This window comes from Homo sapiens, chromosome 16 (assembly GCF_000001405.40).
Source record: "Homo sapiens chromosome 16, GRCh38.p14 Primary Assembly".
Lineage (NCBI taxonomy): Eukaryota > Metazoa > Chordata > Mammalia > Primates > Hominidae > Homo > Homo sapiens.
The window spans coordinates 16,061,277-16,084,774 of NC_000016.10; the positions used below are offsets into that span (position 1 = coordinate 16,061,277).

General features: G+C 48.6%; 1 protein-coding gene across 27 annotated transcripts in view, besides 2 other annotated features; it reads left to right on the forward strand.

The window, feature by feature from the left end:
• The window catches only part of ABCC1 (ATP binding cassette subfamily C member 1 (ABCC1 blood group)), a 193,911-nt gene that overhangs the window by 112,134 nt on the left and 58,279 nt on the right, over nucleotides 1-23,498 (forward strand). For 13 of the 27 annotated variants that reach the window (XM_047434134.1, NM_004996.4, NM_001438755.1 and 10 more), the window contains 5 exons: nucleotides 6,880-7,026; nucleotides 10,366-10,453; nucleotides 15,050-15,125; nucleotides 18,076-18,202; nucleotides 22,090-22,266. In XM_047434134.1, coding sequence (XP_047290090.1) covers nucleotides 6,880-7,026; nucleotides 10,366-10,453; nucleotides 15,050-15,125; nucleotides 18,076-18,202; nucleotides 22,090-22,266 — 615 coding nt within the window. The remainder of the gene's footprint in view (nucleotides 1-6,879; nucleotides 7,027-10,365; nucleotides 10,454-15,049; nucleotides 15,126-18,075; nucleotides 18,203-22,089; nucleotides 22,267-23,498) is intronic. The other 14 variants (NM_019862.3, NM_019899.3, XM_047434147.1 and 11 more) reach the window with 3 other exon arrangements.
• Nucleotides 13,468-14,185: an enhancer, noted in NCBI's record as "H3K27ac-H3K4me1 hESC enhancer chr16:16168601-16169318 (GRCh37/hg19 assembly coordinates)". NCBI's record gives its function as "activates a minimal SCP1, AML or CMV promoter by ChIP-STARR-seq in naive and primed H9 embryonic stem cells {active_cell/tissue: H9 hESC(naive and primed)}" and the evidence as "EXISTENCE:reporter gene assay evidence [ECO:0000049][PMID:30033119]".
• Nucleotides 14,186-14,902: an enhancer, noted in NCBI's record as "H3K27ac hESC enhancer chr16:16169319-16170035 (GRCh37/hg19 assembly coordinates)". NCBI's record gives its function as "activates a minimal SCP1, AML or CMV promoter by ChIP-STARR-seq in primed H9 embryonic stem cells {active_cell/tissue: H9 hESC(primed)}" and the evidence as "EXISTENCE:reporter gene assay evidence [ECO:0000049][PMID:30033119]".

Genomic DNA, 23,498 nt, shown 5'->3' on the forward strand with positions numbered 1-23,498 from the left:
TTAAAGCTGCACCAGATGGTATTCATACAGCCGGACTTCGCACGTGGCCACCTCAGCCTGCTGACATTCGCCAACAGGTCATCCTTTGTCCCTGTGTTGTAGGGCCTGGACTGCACATTGCAGGATGTTTCCCAGCATCTGTGGCCTCTACCTGCCAGATGCTAAGTCGTACCTCTCCCTCTTCTTCCCAGTGGTGACAATAGAAAATGGCTCCAGGCATTGCGAAGTGTCCCCTTGGGGGACAGAATTCTCCCAGTTGAGAACCACAGTCAATAGTGAAAGGCCCAAGCCCTTCCTCCTAACACCAGTCACCTTGCTTCCCTCTCTCCATGTTTCTTGTGTGTTTTTCCAGAGTCCACGTCTGTATCACTGTAATGGTGGATACATGTCATACATGTAGTTATGGTTACTTGATTCTGTTTACTTTACTTTTATACAAGTGATAGTAAGAGTCATACATAAATACATACAAAATGGCTTTTTTTTTCTTTTTTTCTTTTTTTTTTTTTTTTTTTGAGATGGGGTCTCACACTGCCGCCCAAGCTGGAGTGCAGTGACATGATCTTGGCTCACTGCAACCTCTGCCTCCCAGGCTCAAGTAATCCTCCAACCTCAGCCTCCCAGGCAGCTGGGACTACAAGCATGCACCACCATGCCCAGCTAATTTCTGTAATTTTGCAGAGACAGGGTCTCACTTTGTTGCCCAGGATGTTTTCAAACTCCTGAGCTCGAGCAGTCCGCCTGCCTCTGTCTCCCAAAGTGCTGGGATTGTAGGTATGAGCCACTGCACCTGGCCTTGATGGCATTTTGAAAGGTCTTGTCTCAGAGGAAAAGATACAAGCCAGAGGGCGCTGGTGATGAGGTTTGGTCTGTGCCTTGTGTCCCGCTTAGGAGGGGATGGGCAGCGTGTTCTCACAGCTTTTTGCTCTGCACATTGGATTCGTTGGCAAAACCCACAGTTTCCAGGCTGTCACCAAACTTTGCTTATCACTTCCTGCCCTGTTCCCCATTAGGAAACCACAGCAGAAGATGCTTAAGAGCAGGACTGGCTTTTCTTCTCTTTTTTCTTTCTTTCTTTCTTTTTTAAAGAGACAGGGTCTTGTTTTGCTGTCCAGGCTGGAGTACAGTGGCTTGATCACAGCTCACTGCAACCTCCAACTCCTGAGCTAAAGCGATCCTCCTGCTTCAGCCTCTGGAGTAGCTGGGATTACAGATGTGAAATACTGAGCCCGGCTACCGGCTTTACTTAACCTTTTCTTGAGCTTTCTTGCCATTTAGTTTCCCGGAGTTTCCAGAGACAGAGTTTGTTGAGCTGTTTGGCAAGAAACAGATGGGCCTGGGTGTCAGCTGGGGAGACCTTGTCCTGGCCGAGGCATCGAAGCCTCTGACTACATTAGGATAAAATATGTGGCCTTTAGTTCCCCTGGAAGGTGCCTGAGTGTTTTTTCCACTGGTGTGCATTCCTGTGCTTCAAAGACGATGAGGTGTTTACCCAGCGGTAGGTGTGATGGAACACAGAGGCCGGGGAAGGCCAGGGATGCCATCCAGGGACTGATGGGACTGTTTTTCTGGAATGGCAAACCTGGCATTTACCACGTCCACCTAATGCACTTTCCTAAAATAGCATCGCCAGGCAGCCGTCAATATTTAACATTTTCTGTCTTGGATGATTTGTGAGCTTCTTGCCTTCTGTTTACCCTGAATCTCCCTTTGTTAGAATAATTCATCATTCTCTATGGTAATGATCTGTCCTGTAGTTCTCTGCTGATCATATCCTAGGGCCCATGGAGACACTGCCACGACCATGTCATTTTATTTATTTATATATTTATACATTTCTGTATTTTTGAGACGGAGTCTCATTCTGCCGCCCAGGCTGGAGTGCAGTGGCACAATCACAGCTCACTGCAACCTCCACCTCCCAGGTTCAGCTGATTCTCCTGCCTCAGCCTCCCGAAGAGCTGGGATTACAGGTGTGCGCCACCACACCTGGCTAATTTTTTGTCTTTTTAGTAGAGATGGGGTTTCACCATGTTGGCCAGGCTGGTCTCAAACTCCTGACCTCAAGTGATCCGCCCACCTCGGCCTCCCAAAGTGCTGGGATTGCAGGTGTGAGCTACCATGCCCAGTCAGACCTTGTCATTTTGTGCTTGTACCAGCAAAGCATAGGGACCTTGGCAAATAGTTCATGCTCTGTAAATGTATGTAGGTAAATGAATAAATACATGAATGAATGAGAGGTTGAAATAAATCATATTAATTAGGAACTGTCTTGCAAATAACAGAAACCTAGCTTAAATCAACTAGAGTAAGAGAAGAGGGGGATTTTTGAGTCACAAAACTAAAAAGTCTAGAAAAAGACTTTTAAGCATGAATGGGGTTCCAGGCATGGCTGGATCTAGGAGTTCCCAAGATAATGTTGGGAATAACAACGTCTCTGACTCTCAGCTCTGCTTTCTTGATGGTGGTTTCTTTATTAGCTGGTAGTTTCCTGATCATCCTGTCACCTCAGCAACCCCTGTGAACAGAGAGTCTTACTCTTTTCCCCTAATATTTCCTGCAAAGCTATGGGATTGAGTCTCATTGGTTGTGGTCGATCACATGCTTCTTCCTGAGCCAGTCACTGAGGCCAGGGAGATAGGATGCTTGGGTCAGCCAGGGCTAGGTCATGTCTTTCAGGGCTTGGGGCCAAGGTAGGGGGTGAGGGAGGAGGTTCATCTGTGGCTGAAGCTCATAGGTTGACACTGGGAGAAGTTCAGTTCCCCCAGAGAAAATTGCATGTTGCCATAAACAGAGTAATAGATGCCAGGTAGGCAGGAAGAGCAGGTAACTGCACACAGGGCATCAGGATTTTTAGGGAGTGGGCTGGAGTGTAGGGGTTCCATTCATTGGTTTTCCACGTTTCTCAGAAAAGGCACCTAGGGGACAGGTGCTCCTCACTGTGTATGAAGGGCTTTTGCACCCTAGACCCTCGCCTATTACAAGGCGAACTCCAGTCTCCTGCTGCCTGGAGCCCCAGTCATTGTGCCCGTCCTACCAGCCTCTTCGGATTTCCAAACACTGCCTGCAGGGAACCTGTTAAAGCCTGTGCTTCCACTAGACTGTGCGTCTCAGGGTTGCCAAGCCCACCTCAGTCCCCAGCGCATGATGGGTGCTCAGTTACCACCTGAGGGGTGGATGGCTAGATGACCTCCTCCTTCTGGAGAAGCCAGGACCATGGACCTGAAAGGGGCCGCATGATGTTGTCCTGTCCCCTCTCTGTGTGTGCCCTGTGCTGCCAGCAGCCGGCATCGATTGGTACTTGGCTCACCAAGGGGGCTGGTACGTTTTGGTGGTGAGATGCCTGAGGCCTGGTTTGCTTCACTGCTGAAGAGACACCTGTGATGTGCTCTTCTGCCCTCAGGCAAATTCACCTACCCCGTCCCCACCCATTTATCCACTCCCACCCATCCATTATCTATCCAGCAGACATTCACTGAGCACCATGATCTGGGCTCTGTCCTAGGCTCTGACAATACAGCAGTGCATACTACAGGTAATAATCTCCAGTCATGGAACATTCATTTTTCACGGAGAGAAACAGACAAGGAAAAATAGGCACAATAAATAAATCCTAGTGCTAGAGAAAGCCATCCTAAGTGCTATAGAAAGAAAAGAGTCAGATCTTTGGAATAAGGGCGGCTTGCAGTTTTAAGTAGGGTGGTCCAAGCTCACTGAGAAGGTGACACTTGAGGAAAGACTTGATGGAGGTAAAGAGGCCAACCAGGGAGTAGCAAGAGCATGTGCAAAGGCCCTGGGGCATTACTGTGCCCATTCATAGGTGGGATAACCATGGAGGCTGAAACAGTGGGAGTGAGGGGAGAGTGACAGATGACGCCAAATGAGGTACAGGGAAGGGACTTTACAAATCAGCTGGGCCTTGGGATCTGAGTCAGCACTTTGACTTCTACACTGAAAAATAGGTTGACTTTGGAGAGGTACTTTTTTAAAAATTACTTGTTTAGAGATGGGGGCCTCACTCTGTTACCCAGGCTGGTGCGGGGGCACAGTAATAGCTCACTGCAGCCTCGACCTCCTGGGCTCAAATGATTCTCCTGCCTCAGCCTCCCTAGTAGCTAGGACTACAGGTGCATGCCACTATGCTTGACTTATTTATTAATATTATTGTTGTTTTGAGACGGAGTCTTGCTCTGTTGCACACGCTGGGGTGCAGTGGTGCAATCTTGGCTCACTGCAACCTCCACCTCCCGGGTTAAAGTGATTCTCCTACTTCAGCCTCCCTAGTAGCTGGGACTACAGGCACATGCCACCACACCCGGCTAATTTTTGTATTTTTAGTAGAGACAGGGTTTTGCCCTGTCAGACAGGCTGGTCTTGAACTCCTGACTTCAGGAGATCCACCTGCCTTGGCCTCCCAACATGCTGGGATTACAGGCATGAGCCATTGAGCCCAGCCACCTGGCTTATTTTTTAAAAAATTTTGTAGAGACACAGCCTTGCTTTTTTGCCCTGGCTCTGCTCGAACTTCTGGCCTCAAGTGATCCTCCCTCCTCGGCCTTGCAAAGCATTTGGATTACAGGCATGGGCTACCATGCCGATCGAAATGTATTTTTTTAACGGAGGTATAATTCACCATTTAAAAGTGTGCAATTCAGTGGTTTTTTTGTGTGATGTGTGGTGGTGTGAAGGTCACCCAGTGGGTTTTTTGTATAAATGATAATGACAATCACCACTAATTCCAGGACGTTTTCATTACCCCAAAAGGAAGCCCTGTACCTGTTACCAGTTGCTCCCCAAATCTTCCATTCCATTCCAGGCAACCAGTAATCTGCTTTCTGTCTGTCTCTGTTTATCTACTGTGGACTTTTCATATAAATGGAATCAAACAACAGGTGGCCTTTTCTGACTGTTTTCTTTTTTTTTGAGACGAAGTGTCTCCCTTGTTGCCCACCTGAAGCGCAATGGCATGACCTTGCCTCACTACAACGTTTGCCTCCTAGGTTCAAGCGATTCTCCTGCCTCAGCCTACTGAGTAGCTGGGATTATAGGCATGCACCACCACTCCTGGCTAATTGTGTATTTTTAGTAGAGACGGAGTTTCTCCATGTTGGTCAGGCTGGTCTGGAACTCCCGACCTCAAGTGATCCGCCCGCCTCAGCCTCCCGAAGTGCTGGGATTTCAGGTGTGAGCCACCCCGCCTGGCCATCTGACTGGTTTCTTAGCATGATGTTTTCAAGGTTTATCCATGTTTTAGCATGTATAAGAATTTCACTCCTTTTTATGGTTGAGAAGTCTATCATGTAGATACATGTAGACCCTTTCGAGTAAAGAATATCTCTGGGCTGGGCATGGTGGCTCATACCTGTAATCCCAGCATTTTGGGAGGCCGAGGCAGACGGATCACTTGAGGCCAGGAGCTCAAGACCAGCCTGACCAACATGGCGAAACCCCATCTCTACTAAGAAAAATACAAAAAGATTAGCTGGGCATGGTGGTGGGCGCCTATAATCCCAGCTACTTGGAGACTGAGGCATGAGAATCGTTTGACCTTGGGAGGCAGAGGTTGCGGTGAACTGCGATCGCACCACTGCACTCCATCTTGTGCAAAAGAATGAGACTGTGTCTCAAAAAAAAAAAAAGTATCTTTAGGTAAGATGCCAGTGTTGCGTTACCGCTTAGAAGATGGGAGCCAGGATGGGTGCAGTGGCTCATGTCTGTAATCCCAGCACTTTAGGTGGCCGAGGCAGGCAGATGGCCTGAGCCCAGGTGTTCGAGAACAGCCTAGGAAGCATAGGGAGACCCTGTCTCTACAAAAATAAAAAAACTAGCCGGGCATGGTGGTATGCGCCTGTAGTCCTAGCTACTCGGGAGGCTGAGGTGGGAGGAATGCTTGAGCCCGGGAGGTCGAGGCTGTGGTGAGCCATGATTGCACCACTGCACCCAGGGATCATGCGTCCCTGTCGTTTCGAGCACCTTGCCTCCCTCTTGACATCGGAGCCTGGAAAATTTCTGTGCCATGGCTCAGCGTCATCTGTCTTGTTAATGTCAGAGCCAGAACACGAACCAGCTCTGGCTTCCCGTGGGACCGGGCTCTCGCTTGTGTGACCACGTTAATAGATTCCTTGGAAGAATGATCTAAGGAATTTGGACCAAATCTTCCAACAAGAAATAAAAACAGCTGCCATCTGTTGAGTTTTACTGTGCTTGGGCCCTGTGCAAATAAACACCCTACATAAGTGCCAACAGCCCTTAAAAGCCTATCATGACTTCCATTTTATAGATGAGAAAATAGGGGCTTGCCTGGAGAGGTGAAATAACTCAACCAGGGTCCCACAGCGGAAATATGGCAAAGTGTATGGTTTTTATTTTTAAGCTGTATGACCTTCCAGGAAGTAACAATGAAATGGCAGTGCTGAGACCCTGAAAATACATGGGCCGATGGCCAGATGGCAGGGCTATTTGGGTAAAGTGGGAGAGACAGCTCCCTTGAATGGTGAGAGGGAGGAGTCAGGTGGCCCCCTGGATGGAAGATGGTTTCAGGCAGAGGAAACGTCAGGGGCAAAGGCCTGGCTTGGGGATTGTGCTTGGTGCTTTTGAGGAATACTAAGAATGCCCCTCTAGGACATCTCTGAGAAAGTTGATGGGAGAGGCCGGCTCTTTGGGCTCCCGGTCGTTGATTTATCCAGTTCATTCCCAGAGTGTTTAGTGAGCACCTGCCATGTGCCAGATACTGCCCCAGGTTTTTCCACGAGCTCCAGCAGCTGGTCAGTTGTGGCCACCTGGGGAGGGCCCAAGCGCGTCTCCAGGGCCTGTCACTGCTCCTAGGATGATGACTCTCACTCGGGGCACAGCAGTCAGCACTGGGCGTTCTGCTTGCAGGTGGCCTTGTGCACATTTGCCGTCTACGTGACCATTGACGAGAACAACATCCTGGATGCCCAGACAGCCTTCGTGTCTTTGGCCTTGTTCAACATCCTCCGGTTTCCCCTGAACATTCTCCCCATGGTCATCAGCAGCATCGTGCAGGTACAGGGGGAAGCTGGGGCGACTTCCGAGAGGGGGCCTTGGGGTTCTAGGCCACGAAAGCATGGAAGTGCCCCCGAGCGCAGCCTCTAGATCACACTCCCGGTCGGGCTCCATGAGGCCCGGACAAAGGCTGCCATGCTTTCGTCTGGTCATGCCTGAAAGAAAGAAAACACATTTGACTTCTTGACAGAGAACTCGCACTTGAGTATATGAATCAAGTTTAATGCAGCAGGGCTTTCCCATGCTCTGGAAGAATCTTTCCGAAATACTCTGTTCTCTTCAGCCTGTTCCTCCGCCATTCCTATCCTTTTTTTAAAAAACGTAGCTCTTGTCTGACTTGATTGATTTTACAACCCACTGATAGGTCTTGACCACCCACGCTTTGAGAAACCCCAACCTTACAGCCGGGCGCGGCGGCTCATGCCTGTATTCCCACCATTTTGGGAGGCTGAGGCGGGTAGATCACCTGAGGTCAAGAGTTCGAGACCAGCCTGGCCAACATAGTGCAACCTCATCTCTACTAAAAATACAAAAATTAGCCAGGTGTGGTGGCGGGTCCCTGTAATCCCAGCTACTCGGAAGGCTGAGGCAGGAGAATTGCTTGAGCCCAGGAGGAAGAGGTTGCAGTGAGCCAAGATCGTGCCATTGCATTCCAGTCTGGGTGACACAGCAAAAACTCCGTCTCAAAATTAAAAAAAAAAAAAAGAAAAACCCCAACCTTACGGCCGGGCATGATGGTACATGCCTGTAATCCCAGCACTTTGGGAGGCCAAGGCAGGTGGATCTCTTAAGCCCAGGAGTTTGAGACTAGCCTGGGCAATATGGTAAAACCCTGTATGTAAAAAAAAATAAAATAAAATAAAATAAAAATAAATAAATAAATAAATAAATAAATAAATAAATAAATAAATATGTTTGAAAATTAGCCAGGCATGGTGGTGTGCCCCTGTACTCCCAGCGACTCAGAAGGCTGGGGTGGGAGGATCAGCTGAGCTTGGGAAGTTGAGGCTGCAGTGAGTCATAGTCTCACCACTACACTCCAGCCTGGGTGAAGGGAGTAAGACCCTGTTTTTTTTTGTTTTTTGTTTTTATTTTTTAGAAACAATGTAGACCATGTAGAATCTCTAAAATTCCTGCCATTGACTGTGTAAGGAGGGGTGGCTTTCTGTTTTGTCACACTTGGGCACTACTGGAAGCTCCTGTCACTTTTCTGCACTGTTTTCACATTCTTTTTCCGAGCATTGCGAACATCCCTTTTGAAAACTCCATTTTAACTACATAGGCAAATCAACCGTAAAATTTGGTAGTACAAGGCTGATAGCAGGCTTTGTCAAAAACAAAAAAATCCATTTTATTATGAAAAATGTCAAGTGTACACAGAAGTAGAATAGCTTAAAGTTTGTAAACTGGCATTAAAAGAAAAAGAAAAAGAAAAAAAAAGCCAAGCATGATGGCTCACACCTGCAATCCCAGCATTTTGGGAGACCAAGGCAGACAGATCAGCTGAGGTCAGGAGTTCGAGACCAGCCTGGCCAACATGGGGAAACCTTGTCTCTACTAAAAATACAAAAATTAGCCAGATGTATTGGTTGGTGCCTGTAATCCCAGCTAATCTGGAGGCTGAGACACGAGAATCGCTTGAACCTGGGAGGTGGAGGTTGCCGAGGTTGCAGTGAGCCGAGATTGTGCCACTGCACTCCAGCCTGGGCGACTGAGTGAGACTCAGTCTCCAAGAAAGGAAATAATACAACATGAACCCCGTGTACACATCACTCAGATTCAACATCGGCATTTTTTGGCTGGGCGCAGTGGCTCACGCCTGTAATCCCAGCACTGTGGGAGGCTGAGGTGGTAGGATTGCTTCAGCCCAGGAGTTCAAAATCAGCCTGGGCAATGAGACCCTTAATCTACAAAAAATAACAAAATGGGTGTGGGGTGCATGCCTGCAGTGACTACATGGGAGGCTGAGGCAGAAGGATCGCTTGAGCCTAGGAGTTTGAGGCTGCAGTGAGTTATGTTTGCACCACTGCACTCCAGCCTGGGCAACAGAGCAAGACTCTGTCTCAAATAAAGAAACCAAGGTTGGGCGCAGTGGCTCATGCCTGTAATCCCAGCACTCTGGGAGGCCGAGGTGGGCGGATCATGAGGTCAGGAGATGGAGACCATCCTGGCTAACACGGTGAAACCCTGTCTCTGCTAAAAATATAAAAAAATTAGCCAGGTGTGGTGGCAGGTGCCTGTAGTCCCAGCTACTCGGTTGGCTGAGGCAGGAGAATGTTGTGAACCCGGGAGGTGGAGCTTGCAGTGAGCCGAGATTGCGCCACTGCACTCCAGCCTGGGTGACAGAGCGAGACTCCATCTCAAAAACGAACAAAAAAACCCAAAACATTTTGCCACAGTTGATTTATCTCATTCTTTTTCAGTATCCCTCCCTTGTCCCTCTTTCCCTTCATTTGTTTTTAATGCTAAACTCTGCTATCTATCCCTTCATTCTTTCCTTTCTTTGCCGAATAATTTTAAAGCAAATCTCAGACCCCTTACATTCTACCCACAAATATTTCAGCATGCATTTCTTCCTACATAATGTAATACCATCATCATGTCTAAGCAAACTAACAATAAGTTTTTACAATAATACTCAGCCCATATCCAAGTTTTCTGGAATATCTCAGAAATGCCTGTCCCATTGGGCTGTTTGAATTGGCTCTGTTGCATTTGCTGTTACGTTTCCAGAGTCCCTTTTCCACCAGGCCTCTGCCCTTTTCTTCTTTTATTTTTATTTTTATTTATTTATTTTTTGAAATGGAGCCTCACTCTGTCACCCAGGCTGGAGTGCAGTGGCATGATCTTGGCTCACTGCGACCTCTGCCTTCCCAGGTTCAAGTGATTCTTCTGCCTCAGCCTCCCGAGTAGCTGGGATTGCAGGTGCGTGCCACCATGCCAGGCTAATTTTATGTATTTTTTTTTTTTTTTTTAGCTGAGGCGGGGTTTCACCATGTTGGCCAGGCTGGTCTCAAACTCCTGACCTCAAGTGATCTGCCTGCCTTGGCCTCCCAAAGTGCTGGGATTACAGGTTTGAGCTACCGTGCCCAGCCATTCGCCCATTTTTTCTGAAATACCTTTTGTGGGCTTTTAAAACAAAGCAGAACCAAACCTGTTTCTTTTTTTGTTTTGTTTAATTCTAAAGTATACACTGGTTCTAAGAAATGTGGGACCTTCAGAAATAAGGGAGGGTGTGTGCCCCTCCACACCTGGGGAAACCCTTGAAAGTTAACCTTGGTTGGTTTTGCAAAAATGCTTTTTAAAAATAACTCTCCCCTGCCATTGCTCTCTGTACAGGCGAGTGTCTCCCTCAAACGCCTGAGGATCTTTCTCTCCCATGAGGAGCTGGAACCTGACAGCATCGAGCGACGGCCTGTCAAAGACGGTGTGTGTGTGTTCAGTCCTGGCTTCTGGAAGTGGCCGCCTTCCCATCTCCCACTGGGTCCTCCCTACTTGCATTTCTTTCCCTTGGCTGCCCTCAGGTTTGACTCTGCCCAGCCGCTTGTCTGCGAGACCCCGGGGGACAAGGGTTCTGCAGAGCCTGCAGAAGGGAAGGGAAGCCTGGCCTCCTGGGCTTCTGTCCTGTCTCACACTTCCCAGGAGGGTGAACTTGCACTTGCATTTTTGTTTTCTTGCTGAGGGTCAGCAGCTGCTTGAGGCTTCCCCGTGGGAGTCACTTTCCAAGGCTTTGACCTTGATTCTATTCTGGGCTAAATGAGGACTCTGGAGGCTGGCCAGCCTCCATCACCCACAAGCTGTGTAGACTTAGGTCTGAGCCTCAGTTTTATCTAGATAAGGGAAACAAAAGTACCTTTCTTTGGCTGAGTGTTACTTGGATTTTTTTTTTTTTTTGAGACAGGGTCTCATTCCATTTCCCAGGCTGGAGTGCAGTGGTGCAGTCACAGCTGTCACTGCAGCCTTGATTTCGTGGGCTCAGGTGATCCTCTGACCTTAGCCTCCCAAGTAGCTAGAACTACAGGCACACACAGCACCATACTTGGATAATATTTTGGTATGTTTTGTAGAGACAGGGTTTCACCATGTTGTCCAGGCCGGTCTCGAACTCCTTAGCTCAAGCAATCCACCTGCCTCAGCCTCCCAAAGTGCTGGGCTTATAGGCATGAGCCAGTTCTCCTGGCCTTTTTTTTTTTTTCAATATTAAATTGTTTTATTTGGAGAGACAAGGTCTTGCTTTGTTCCTCAAGTTGGTCTTGAGCTCCTGGGCTCAAGGATCCCTCTGCCTCAGCCTCCCAAAGTGCTGGGATGACAGATGTGAGCCACTGCACCTGGCCATGCATTTTTATTGGCAGGTTTGTTTGTTTTGTAGCTTGTTAATTTATCGTTTCCCAGCCCATCCCCCTGAGCCAGGGATGTTGTTTGTAACCATCTCTCTAGGCACTTAATAATAAATATTAGGCCGGGCACAGTGGCTCACGCCTGTAATCCCAGCACTTTGGGGAGCTGAGGCAGGTGGATCACTTGAGGTCAGGAGTTCGAGATCAGCCTGGCCAACAAGGTGAAACCCCGTCTCTACTGAAAATACAAAAATTAGCTGGACATGGTGTTGGGCACCTGTAATCCCAACTACTCGGGAGGCTGAGGCAGGAGAATCACTTGAACCCAGGAGGCGGAGGTTGCAGTGAGCCAAGATCGCGCCACTGCACTCCAGCCAGGGCAAAGAGTGAGACTTCATCTCAAAAAAAAAAAAAAAAATAATAATAATAAATATTAATGGCACTAAGTGCAGTGACACGTTCACTTATAAAGCCTCTGTCATGCACATGCCATTCCAAGGATGTCAATGTCCCAACTTGTCCATTACTCACCATGGTACCCCTGGAGGAGGGTGATGGAAACCCCCATTTTCCAGATGAAGAAACTGGTCTCTGAAACTTGCCTGAGATTGCACAGCTGATCAAAAGAAGAACCAGCATTCACACCCACAGCCCATCGGTAGAGTCCATGCTCTTCCTGGCCATAGGGTGTTGCCTCACTGAGATTTACTGAGCACCTACTATGTGCCAAGCATTGTGAGAAGTGCTCTGTGTGCACTGCCTCATAGACACCCCATCACAGCCCTCTGAAGTTGATTGCATGATTGTCAGCCTTATTTTACAGATGAAAAAGTGAGGCACAGGCTGGGTGCAGTGGCTCCTACCTATAATCCTAGTACTTTGGGAGGCCAAGGCTGGAGGATTGCTTGAGGCCAGGAGTTTGAGACCACCTTGGGTAATGTAGTGAGACCTCGTCTCTACAAAAATTAAATTCACCAGGCATGGTGGTGCACCTGTAGTCCTAGTTACTTGAGAGGCTGAGGCAGGAGGATTGGCTGAGCCCGGGAGTTCAAGGCTATAGTGAGCTATGATCATGCCACTGTACTCCAGCCTGGGTGTCAGAGTGAGACCCTGTCTCAAAAAACAAACAAACAAAGGCACAGAGAAGTTAACTAACTTGCCTGTGGCTACCCAGGTACGAAGTGGTAGCCCCAGGATTCAAACCCATACAGTCTGGCTCCAGAGTCCAATGTCAGAAGATTGAATGTGTGTAAACGTCGGTTATACCGCGTGAGCTGTGTCTGGCACCTCGCAGGCGCTCAGGTATCTTTAGTGGCACCTAAAACGTTTGACACGTTTGACACAGCACCTGGTGCATAGAAGATGATAAACAGATCCTGGGAGTTGTCACTTCTCTGGTCTGAGCGAGATGGTCTCAGCATCTTCAGCTCAGCCCCCTGGTGTGGGGTTTTTTATCCTGGGCGCTACTGACATCTGGAGACACATTGTTCTTTGTGGTTGGGGACTGTCCTGTGCACTGTGGGATGTTGAGCAGCAACCCTGGACTCTACCCATTAGATACAGTAGTATCCATCCCAATTTTGGCAACCAAAAATGGCTCCAGACATTGCCAGATGTGCCTTGAGGGACACAGTTACCTCCAGTTGAGAACCGTGGCCCAAGTGGATGCTGGACTCTTCCTCCCAACACTCCTGGGCTGTGGTCATCTGGTTTCTGCTGTCCCAGTGTCCCACATCCCCTCACATCATAAGGCAATGATTCCATCTACTCTGGGGTCAAATTTCTCTGCTAACCACAGGCTGAAATTTGAGGTGGCCGGCGGTGGGTGGGGGGTGGTTTCTTGGTACTGAAGTTGTTCACAGCTCAATGCAAGCATCAGGAAACCCCTAGGCCCCTGGGTGCCGCCCGCACCCCAGCCCCTCCTTCCTGCCCTAATAGTGGCCTCCTAGGTGGTTGGACTTCCTGGAATGTTTAGCACGCTCTAGCCAGTGGGGGCCCCCTTGGCTGCTCCCAGCTCCCAAGCTAACCGTTCTCTGCAACCTCTCTGTCTCCAGTGGCTTTTCTTAAATTCCTTAAATAGCAACTCCCAGTTTCCTCATTCCACGTCCACTCGTAGAAGAGCTGAGGGAGAAAGTTAATCTAGGTTAACCAGCACCTTCCTCTCTCTCTAGGTTTTTTGTTTTTTTGATGCATGGAGGAAGTTATTTCTTCATTTGACAACTTAAACAAAAAATACTCCTGTATTATCTCCAGATGGTCTTAAGGTGGCTCATAATTCAGAGAGCTGCTTTTCTGTTTTTTCTTTTTCTTTTTTTTTTTTTTTTTGAGACAGAGTTTCACTCTGTTGCCCAGGCTGGAGTGCAATGGCACGATCTTGGCTCTCTGCGACCTCTGCCTTGGTTTCAAGCGATTCTCATGTCTCAGACTCCCGAGTAGCTGGGACTACAGGCATGCGCTACCACACCTGGCTAATGTTTGTATTTTTAGTAGAGATGGGGTTTCACCACGTTGGCCAGGCTGGTCTCGAACTCCTGACATCAGGTGATCTGCCCGCCTCGGTCTCCCGAAGTGTTGGGATTACAGGCATGAGCCCCTGCGACTGGCCTGCTTTTGTTTTAAGTGAGAGACATGAAGTAAAAGGAAAATAACAGGAAGAAGAGTAAAAGAAGACAGAGGTGCTAGGAGCTTTAGAAGTGTGGAGCTGGCCGGGCATGGTGTCTCATGCCTGTAATCCCGGCACTTTGGAAGGCCGAGGCAAGCAGATCACTTGAGGCCAAGAGTTCGAGACCAGGCTGAGCAACATGTCAAGACCCCACCTCTACAAAAAATACAAAAAAAAAATTAGCTGGGTGTGATGGTGCACATCCTGTAGTCCCAGTTGCTCAGGAGGCTGAAGTGGGAGAATCGCCTGCGCCTGGGAGATGGAGGTTGCAGTAGGCCGAGATCGCACCACTGCGCTCCAGCCTGGGTGCAGAAGCCAGATCCTGTCTCAGGAGAAGACAGAAACATGGAACCAGTTAACGTGGGCTTTGTCTCCGACACTCTCCCCTTCCCTGTGCCCTCGTACCACACTTCCTGTTCCGTATCCTCTTTTTTTGAGTTTATCGTGATGGATGTTTTAGAAAGATCCACCTGCTGTGATGTGCTGTGTGTAGAGTGGTGTGGCTGGGGGAGGAAGACAGAGGACCTGGGGAGAAGGGTGAACGACCTCCCTTTGCACCTCAAGGAGGGCCCAGCGGTCTGATGCTGGCCACCCCAGTGGAGAGAGGTTTGCATGTGGACGCCAGCTGTTTCCCACTGACCTTGGCCACTGCTCGGCCCTCCCAGCTGGAGCTGCCCCGAACCTGCCTGAGAAGGGCCAGGGCATCGAGAGCATTGAGTAATTCTCATGCGGCCCCCGCCTCTGCAGTCATCTCCCAAGATGATCGTCCAGATGGCGCAACCCCATCTTACAAGGACAAAGCTGCTTGCAGTTTCCTTCTGCTTTCTGGGTCTGGGGCTGCCTCCAGAACTGCAGGTTGAGTTTCTTCTTTCAGAACCCGTGGCTGATGTCACCAGATAATAATGCCTAGCGCCATTCGTGCCAAGCGTCTGGGGTTGAACCATTCAAGCAGAGAAAGAGAGTGTTCTGTGCATGTGGAGTCGCACAGCTCAGCCTGTCCCTGACATGTCTCTGTGCTTTGTAGGCGGGGGCACGAACAGCATCACCGTGAGGAATGCCACATTCACCTGGGCCAGGAGCGACCCTCCCACACTGAATGGGTAAGCCGGGACGTGGACACACGTGATGGTGTGGAGAGAGCCACAGGGCTTTTGTTAAACGTGGATTCGAATTCCCACCGTGCTCCCTCTCTGTGACCTTGAACAACTCACTTTGCCTTTCTAAGACTTAGCTTACCCATCTGGACAATGGGTGCAGATACACCTGCTTAGGCTGTCGTGAGAAGCAGACACACATGCCTAGCACAGAGGGTTCCCTGGGATTGTAAGTTACAGCAGCCTTGGACAGCTAGACTTAGACAATACAGGAGATTCTTGGCTTGCGTAACTGGGAAGTTCTACTTTCAGGTGCGGTGTGATCCAGGGACTCTGCCGTCAGAACTTTCTTCATATTTTCTGTGTTTCACTTTCTCCTGGTCTGCTTTATCCTCACGCATCCTCTCCCCTTGTGATGGTAAATGGTCCCAACAGCTCCCACTGTGTATCCCACTGTTAGGAGAACTGCCTGCTTCTTATTGACCCAGATTGGGTCCTGTGCCCTCTGTGAGGCAATCGCTATGCCTTCAGACACTGAGTGTGCTGATTGGCCAGTCTCAGTCAGGGGCTGTGATGCTGCTGAACTCCAGTGCCCCTCAGCTGCCCAGCTCACCCTTTCTTGCCAGCTTTCTATCTGGCACCCCACACCCTACAGTCCTTACCTTTCCAAAGCACATGATGTCTAGGAAATTGACCTTATCCCCAGGCAACTTGTCAAGCACCTCTCATTTTGTTCTGACCAGAGGCCTTGATCAACAGCTTTTTAGGCCCCCTTAAGGAATCCGCAAAACACAGGGGTGATGGGACCCTTTTAGAGGTTTAGCTCATGCCTGGGTAGCCAAATCACTGCTGTATTTTATGATGAAGGAGAGAAACTCTCCAGAGAAAACAATCTGTAGAAGGCCTGCATTGAAAATTCATGGGGGTACTGCATGCTTAGGAAGTTCTTCCTTATGTCTAACTTAAATCCTGCCTGCTTCAATTGTAGCTGTTCTGTCTTGTTGAGCTGCACAACTAATCTGTATCTGTGTCCCTTTCCTGACCCAGTGGTTTTCCTGTTCAGTTACCTTCCCCCCATGAGCCCCCAGAACCTTTCTCTAACCCTTTTCTCTCATCAGCCTGTAAGAATATTTCAGTCTCACGTGGACAGTGGCAGGTACTGTCTCACGTGGACAGTGGCAGGTATTGTCTCACTGGGCTTCCTGCCCACTCAGGCCCCATAATCCTTTCCCCTCCCAGCACAGGAACAAAAAGCCTGATGAGTGTCACCATGCAGCAGTGTCATAAGAATGAAACAATCAGTGACAGCAACGACTATCAGCATTTCCACTAATACTCTGAAATCAGAAAGGTGGCAGTTAAAAAGCACAGAATCCCAGCACTTTGGGAGGCCAAGGTGGGCACATCACCTGAAGTCCGAAGTCTGAGACCAGCTTGGCCAACATGGTGAAACCCTGTCACTACTAAAAATAAAAAAACTAGCTGGGCATGGTGGTGCATGCCTGTAATCCCAGCACTTTGGGAGGCTGAGGCGGGCAGATCACTGGAGGTCAGCAGTTCGAGACCAGCCTGGCCAATGTGGGGAAACCCCATCTGTACTAAAAATACAAAAATTAGCTGGATGTGGTGGCGCTCGCCTGTAATCCCAGCTACTTGGGAGGCTGAGGCACAAGAATCATTTGAACCTGGGAGGCACAGGTTTCAGTGAGCCAAGATTGAGCCACTGTACTCCAGCCTGGGCCACAGAGTGAGACTCTTGTCTCAAAAAAATAAATAAATACTTAAGTAACTAAATACAGATAAATAAAAAATAAAAGCACATTCCATATAAGTGAGTCCAGCAAAGGTTTGGATGTGCCCTCCCTTCCCTGGGAGGATGGAAACCCTGCTCTGGAGGTGCCGTCGGCAGTGGGAGTGGCCTGGGGTTGACCTGCCCCATTGACAGCCGGTCTTACTGGGTGAATGCTGAGCTTATTTTATTTTGCTTTCTGCTGTTCGTTAAAGGATGATTTCAATAGAGACATCTTCCTGAAATTCAACTCAGATTTATTCATATGCGTTTCCCTTTTCAACCCTTTGGTGGCTCCCGGCTGGCAGAGTTCAGGTGTCTTAGCACAGCGTCCTTCCAGGGCATATTTCAAGGTGCTCCCAGGTCTGGCCACTACCTACCTCAGTGCCATCGCATCCCTGGTTACACCCTGTGCCTTCACCCCTTTACACCTTTCTCCGGCTCTCCACATGTTTCTGTGTGTGGGACACTCCTGCTTTTTGTCAGAGTTTTTTGGTTTATTTATTTTCTGAGACAGAGTCTCACGCTCTTGCCCAGATCGGAGTGCAGTGGCACGATCTCAGCTCACTGTAACCTCCGCCTCTTGGGTTCAAGTGATTCTTGTGCCTCAGCCTCCTCAGTAGCTGGGACCACAGGCCCTGCCACCACCACGCCTGGCTAATTTTTATATTTTTAGTAGAAACGGGGTTTCACCATGTTGGCCAGACTGGTCTCGAGCTCCTGACCTCGTGATCCGCCTGCGTTGGCCTCCCAAAGTGCTGGGATTACCAGCACTGGCATGAGCTACCGTGTCCGGCCCCAGTTTGTCTTGAGGTGTCCTCTCCTTTCAGACCTTGCGTCATGCCCCCAGTAAAGTTTCTGCCTCTCCGAGGGGCAAAAACTGTTCCAGAAGCCCACTGTGACAGGATCCCTCAGGTTACTCCCTGCCTCACTTCTCTAAGGGACACCTGTCACCTGCCTCCCACCTGGAGGCCCCCTGAGACAGGTCACTGAACTGAACTCAGCAGTAGAAATGGAAGGAATGTTGAGGCCTTCAGTGTTTAGTACAGTCTTGCCTTCTGTCTTTCTCTTTCTCTACTTGGGGTAAATTGAGGCTCGGTGGCCATGGGCATTAGCCCGGCAGGCCTCATTCAGCGTGGCTGAGCCAGGTGTGTTGTGTCGTTTCAGCATCACCTTCTCCATCCCCGAAGGTGCTTTGGTGGCCGTGGTGGGCCAGGTGGGCTGCGGAAAGTCGTCCCTGCTCTCAGCCCTCTTGGCTGAGATGGACAAAGTGGAGGGGCACGTGGCTATCAAGGTAGGATGAGGACCAGCGGGGAGGGGCAGTGGGGAAGCTGGTGGTCTGAGGAAAAGCTCAGAAATGATGGTGTTTCTTTTGACTGTCCCTGTGCCAGAAGCGAAAGCAGCAACGTCTCTTTTCCTCCTCCTCCTGTATCTTTCCACTGTCTCTTTCTCTCTCGTTCTTTCTGTTCTGTTCCGTGCTGTCCTAGAAGGCAGGATTTTGGTATCATTTATTTCCATCTGTCTCCCAGCACTTAAAATAGTGCCCAGTATATAGTAGGCACTTAATAAATATTTATTTTGTTACCTCTTTATTAAGCTGTTATTTTATTATTATTATTATCATTATTATTGTGTTTTTTTTTTTTTGAGACAGGGTCAGGCTCTGTCCCGCAGGCTGGAGTGAAGTGGCGTGATCTCGGCTCACTGCAGCCTCTGCCTCCTGGGTCCAAGCGATTCTCCCTCAGCCTCCCGAGTAGCTAGGATTACAGGCATGCGCCACCATGTCCAGCTAATTTTTATATTTTTTTAGTAGAGACGGTGTTTTACCATGTTGGCCAGGCTGGTCTCAAACTCCTGACCTCAAGTGATCTGCACACCTCTGTCTCCCAAAGTGCTGGGATTGCAGGTGTGAGCCACCGCATTTGGCCACTTAAGAAATACTTAGTAGACACACGAAGACTCCCTGGTACGCAGCCTGTGTCTCCTTCCCTTGCGTCTCTGCCTGTCACTGAGTGTCTCTTGGTCTGTTTGGGTCTTTTTGGATTGTTCTTTATCTTTATGGATCTCTGAGTATCTATTCTTATAAATGTAACAAAACAAAAATGTTTATGTGGTTGGAATATTTTCTTAGAACATTTTTTAAAGGGAACAGTTTAAATTTTTAGTGTTGAATTCTTAATATGGAGCTAAAAGAAGACTGCAGTTTTACTGCTTTTAAATACACAGTGTACTTTGAAGTAAGTTGAAATTCCCCAGGAGTGAGCTTAAGAGGCTCCTTTACAAATAATCCCCACTGGAAATCAACAGCCTTTGTTTGCATTTAGTTCACTCCCCATGAAGGCCTTTTCCTAGTGTAACGACACGTCCCTGGAAGTTTTGCTACCAGCATTTCCAGGAGTGTGGTCTGCAGCCAGCTCATCTTGCAGGACATTTGGGCGATAAAGAACCCCAGGCTCAAAGAAGCGTGGGAAATAATGCATACTCCAGCCCCCTCCCTCTTGGAGACTTACAGTAAACATTAGCAAATTAAAGGCTCTGACAAGTCCTGCAAGGAGAAAAAATCTATTAACTGTTTAACCTTATGTGTCCCAGGTGTACTTGTCCGCACCTCTTTAGTGTCTGTGCAACTGCACATTTGTCTCTTGGAATCTGCCTTTGGGAATGTCAAGTTTATGACGTTGTTTGTTGTTGTGGGTTTTGAGACAGAGTTTTTTTTGTTGCCCAGGCTGGAGTGCAGTCGTGTGATCTTGACTCACTGCAACCTCTGCCTCCTGGGTTCAACCGATTCTTCTGTCTCAGCCTCTTGAGTAGCTGGGATTATAGGCACCCACCATTACTGCACCCGGCTAATTTTTGTATTTTCAGTAAAGACGGGATTTTACCATGTTGACCTGGGTAGTCTAGAACTCCTAACCTCAGGTGATCTCCCCATCTCGGCTTCCCAAAGTGCTGGGATTACAGGCGTGAGCCACCGCTCCTGGCCTAGTTAATGACATTGTTTTTATTTCAGAGCAAAACCCTTTCTTTGATTATACAGTGCCTTTAGAAAGTATACATTGTGGTTGGGTCCAAATTAATGACCTTTAGCTGTTGTTTTAAGAAATGTTTTATCATTACTTTCAAGTTCCTGCCATAAAATAAGATGAATGAACCATGAGAGCTAGATTAATGGAAGAAAATTCCAAATCCCGATGGGATCCACATTGCTTTCTGTTTCCTTAACCCCAGCTTTCTGCTATCCTGGCACTATTAGCATTTCAGGCCAGATGATTATTTATTATTGGTTGTTTGGCCTAGGTAAGGGGAGTGCTAGAAATGTATATAAAATATTTATCTTTTCCCAAATGTTTTAGTTGGTGTGGTTTGTGTATATTATGTCTGAAATTTCTGTGGGTTCTATGGTAAGGCACCACTGTTGACATTTTGGCTTTTTAAAAGTTAGGATATTCAAGTCAGCAGGTTAATTATTTGAGAATTTAGAGTAAGAATGAGGGTACCTGGGACCTGCTGTCAGCTTTGCCCTCTCTAGAATTCCCTTATTCAAGAATCTTCTGGCTGGGCGCGGTGGCTCACATCTGTAATCCCAGCACTTTGGGAGGCTGAGGCAGGTTGATCACCTGAGGTCAGGAGTTTGAGACCAGCCTGACCAGCATGGCGAAACCCCGTCTCTACTGAAAATACAAAAATTAGTGGGCCTGGTGGTGTGTGCCTTTAGTCCCAGCTACTCAGGAGGCTGAGGAAGGAGAATCCCTTGAGCCCGGAGGCAGAGACTGCAGTGAGCTGAGATCTTGACACTGTATTCCAGCCTGAGCGACAGCAAGGCTTCGTTTCAAAAAAAAATCTTCAGGGGCTCCCCTTGCCCCTCTGATAAAGCCCATGCTCCCCACCAAGTATAGGCCCCCTTGCTGTCCCTGGTGTGTTTTCTGCCAGTCGTTCCCTCACAGGATTGATCGATGTTCCTGTCACGCTGGCCTTTCTGTTCCTTGAATGTGCCAAGTACTTTTCACTTCCAGGCCTTCGCATGTGCTGTTCCCTCGGACTTGAATGCTCTTCCCTCTTCTCCTCATGAAACTGACTCATTCTTCACTTTTTGGTTCTTGTCTAAACATATGTTTGAGCTGAGCATGATGGCTCATGCCTATAATCCCAGCACTTCAGGAGGCCAAGGCAGGAGGATTGCTTGAGGCCAGGAGTTTGAGACCAGGCTTAGCAACATGGCAAGATTTTGTTTCTACAAACGTAATAAATATATAGAGAATTAACTACCTCAGCATTTTCATTAGCAAAATACACAAAACAAATATCCTTACTCTAGCCTTTATTCTCATGCTGTTTGTGATACCTGACATATGGAAATAAAAATAAGCCTTTGAAATGGATGCTTGATATAGGAGTCTTTGCTTCAATTTTTAGCAAGGATATTTCCTCAAAGATCCTTCCCGGATGTCCCAAACTAGGTCAGTCTTTTAATTTTTTTGAGACAGGATCTTGCTCTGTGGTCCAGGCTGGAGTGCAGTGGCACGGTGCAATCTCAGCTCGTGGTACCTCCATTTCCTGGGCTCAGGTGATCCTCCCACCTCAGCCTCCCAAGTAGCTGGGACTACAGATGCACAGCGCCATGCCTGGCTAATTTTTCTATTTTTTTTAGAGATGGGATTTCTCTATGTTGTCCAGGCTGGCTTTGAACTCCTGACCTCAAGCAGTCTGCCTGCCTTGGCCTCCCAAAGTGCTGGGATTACAGGCATGAGCCACTGCGCCTAGTCAAGTTAGACTCTTAAAAAGTGTCATATATCTTTTTATCTTTGCGTCCACCGTAACTGTAATCAAGTAGTTTTCCGTCACCTGAGGGACTTCCACTCTTTGGAAGCAGGGGTTTTGATCACCGCTGTAGGCATTGAGTTAATAGCTAGCTACTAAGTAAATAACTGTAATCTTATCAACGAGGATATCAACTCTTTGACTCCTGATATTGGAGTCAGTGATTCACCTGCTGTGGGTTCTGATCCCAGCCCTGGCATCTGTTGTCCTTTGTGAGTCAGTTTCCCTCTTGCCAAAGCAATAGTTGTGATGAAAATGACTTGTGAAGTGAGGCCCTCCTAGCAGGCGGGTGGGCCAGCTGTTGTCTCGTTGATCAGATCTGTCTGTGTGTCTGTCTCACCTCGTTCTCCATTTGCAACTTAGGGCTCCGTGGCCTATGTGCCACAGCAGGCCTGGATTCAGAATGATTCTCTCCGAGAAAACATCCTTTTTGGATGTCAGCTGGAGGAACCATATTACAGGTCCGTGATACAGGCCTGTGCCCTCCTCCCAGACCTGGAAATCCTGCCCAGTGGGGATCGGACAGAGATTGGCGAGAAGGTCAGTATAGGTTGGATGTTGGCCCCTGAATCAGTCAGCTGTTGCCGCGTAACAAATGCTCTCACAATCTCAGTGGGCTGTGAGTCTGCTGCTATCAGCTGACCCGGCAGGGCTCAGCTGGGCGGCTCTGCTGCACGCTGCAGGCCAGCTGAACTTGGGTCCAGGCTGTGGGTGTGGCTCAGGTCTCACTTACAGAGCTTTTGCTGGGGACCGGGGTGAGGGGTCCACAGCTTTCCAAAGGGGGGCTCTTCTCATGGTGGCAGCAGAGGCCCAAGATAGGCCCCCCAGAAAGCATGCAATGTCCCTTAAAGTACACTGTCCCTTCTACTCACAAAGCAAGTCACTTGGCCAAGCTCAAAGGCAAGGGACCAAGAAGGAAGTACATTCTACCTTTGTGGTCACATGACTGCAGAGTCACATGACAGAGGGCATGCTGTTGGGAGGAGGGGAGTCGATGATTCATATGTTCACAGTCCCTGTCAAGATAGCCATAATACTGAAAATAGCACAATAGCTAACACTTACTGAGCATTTTCTCTTTCTTTTCTTTCTTTCTTTTTATTTATTTATTTATTTTTGAGATGGAGTCTTGCTCTCTTGCCCAGGCTGGAGTGCAGTGGCACGATCTCAGCTCACTGCAACCTCTGCCTCCCGCGTTCAGGTGATTCTCCTGCCTCAGCTTCCTGAGGGGCTGGAATTACAGGTGCATATCACCACACTCGGCTAATTTTTGTATTTTTAGTCGAGGCAGGGTTTCACCATGTTGGCCAGGTTGGTGTCTAACTCCTGACCTCAAGTGATCCGCTGGCCTCAGCCTCTCAAAGTTCTTTTTTTTTTTTGAAATGGAGTCTCTCTCTGTCGCCCAGGCTAGAGTGTAGTGGCTCACTCTTGGCTCATTGCAACCTCTGCCTCCTGAGTTCAAGTGATTCTCCTCCCTCAGCCTCTTGAATAGCTGGGACTACAGGCCCCTGCCACCACGCACAGCTAATTTTTGTATTTTTATTCGAGGCAGGGTTTCACCATGTTGGCCAGGTTGGTGTCTAACTCCTGACCTCAAGTGATCGGCTGGCCTCAGCCTCTCAAAGTTCTTTTTTTTTTTTTGAAATGGAGTCTCTCTCTGTCGCCCAGGCTAGAGTGTAGTGGCTCACTCTTGGTTCAACCTCTGCCTCCTGAGTTCAAGTGATTCTCCTCCCTCAGCCTCTTGAATAGCTGGGACTACAGGCCCCTGCCAC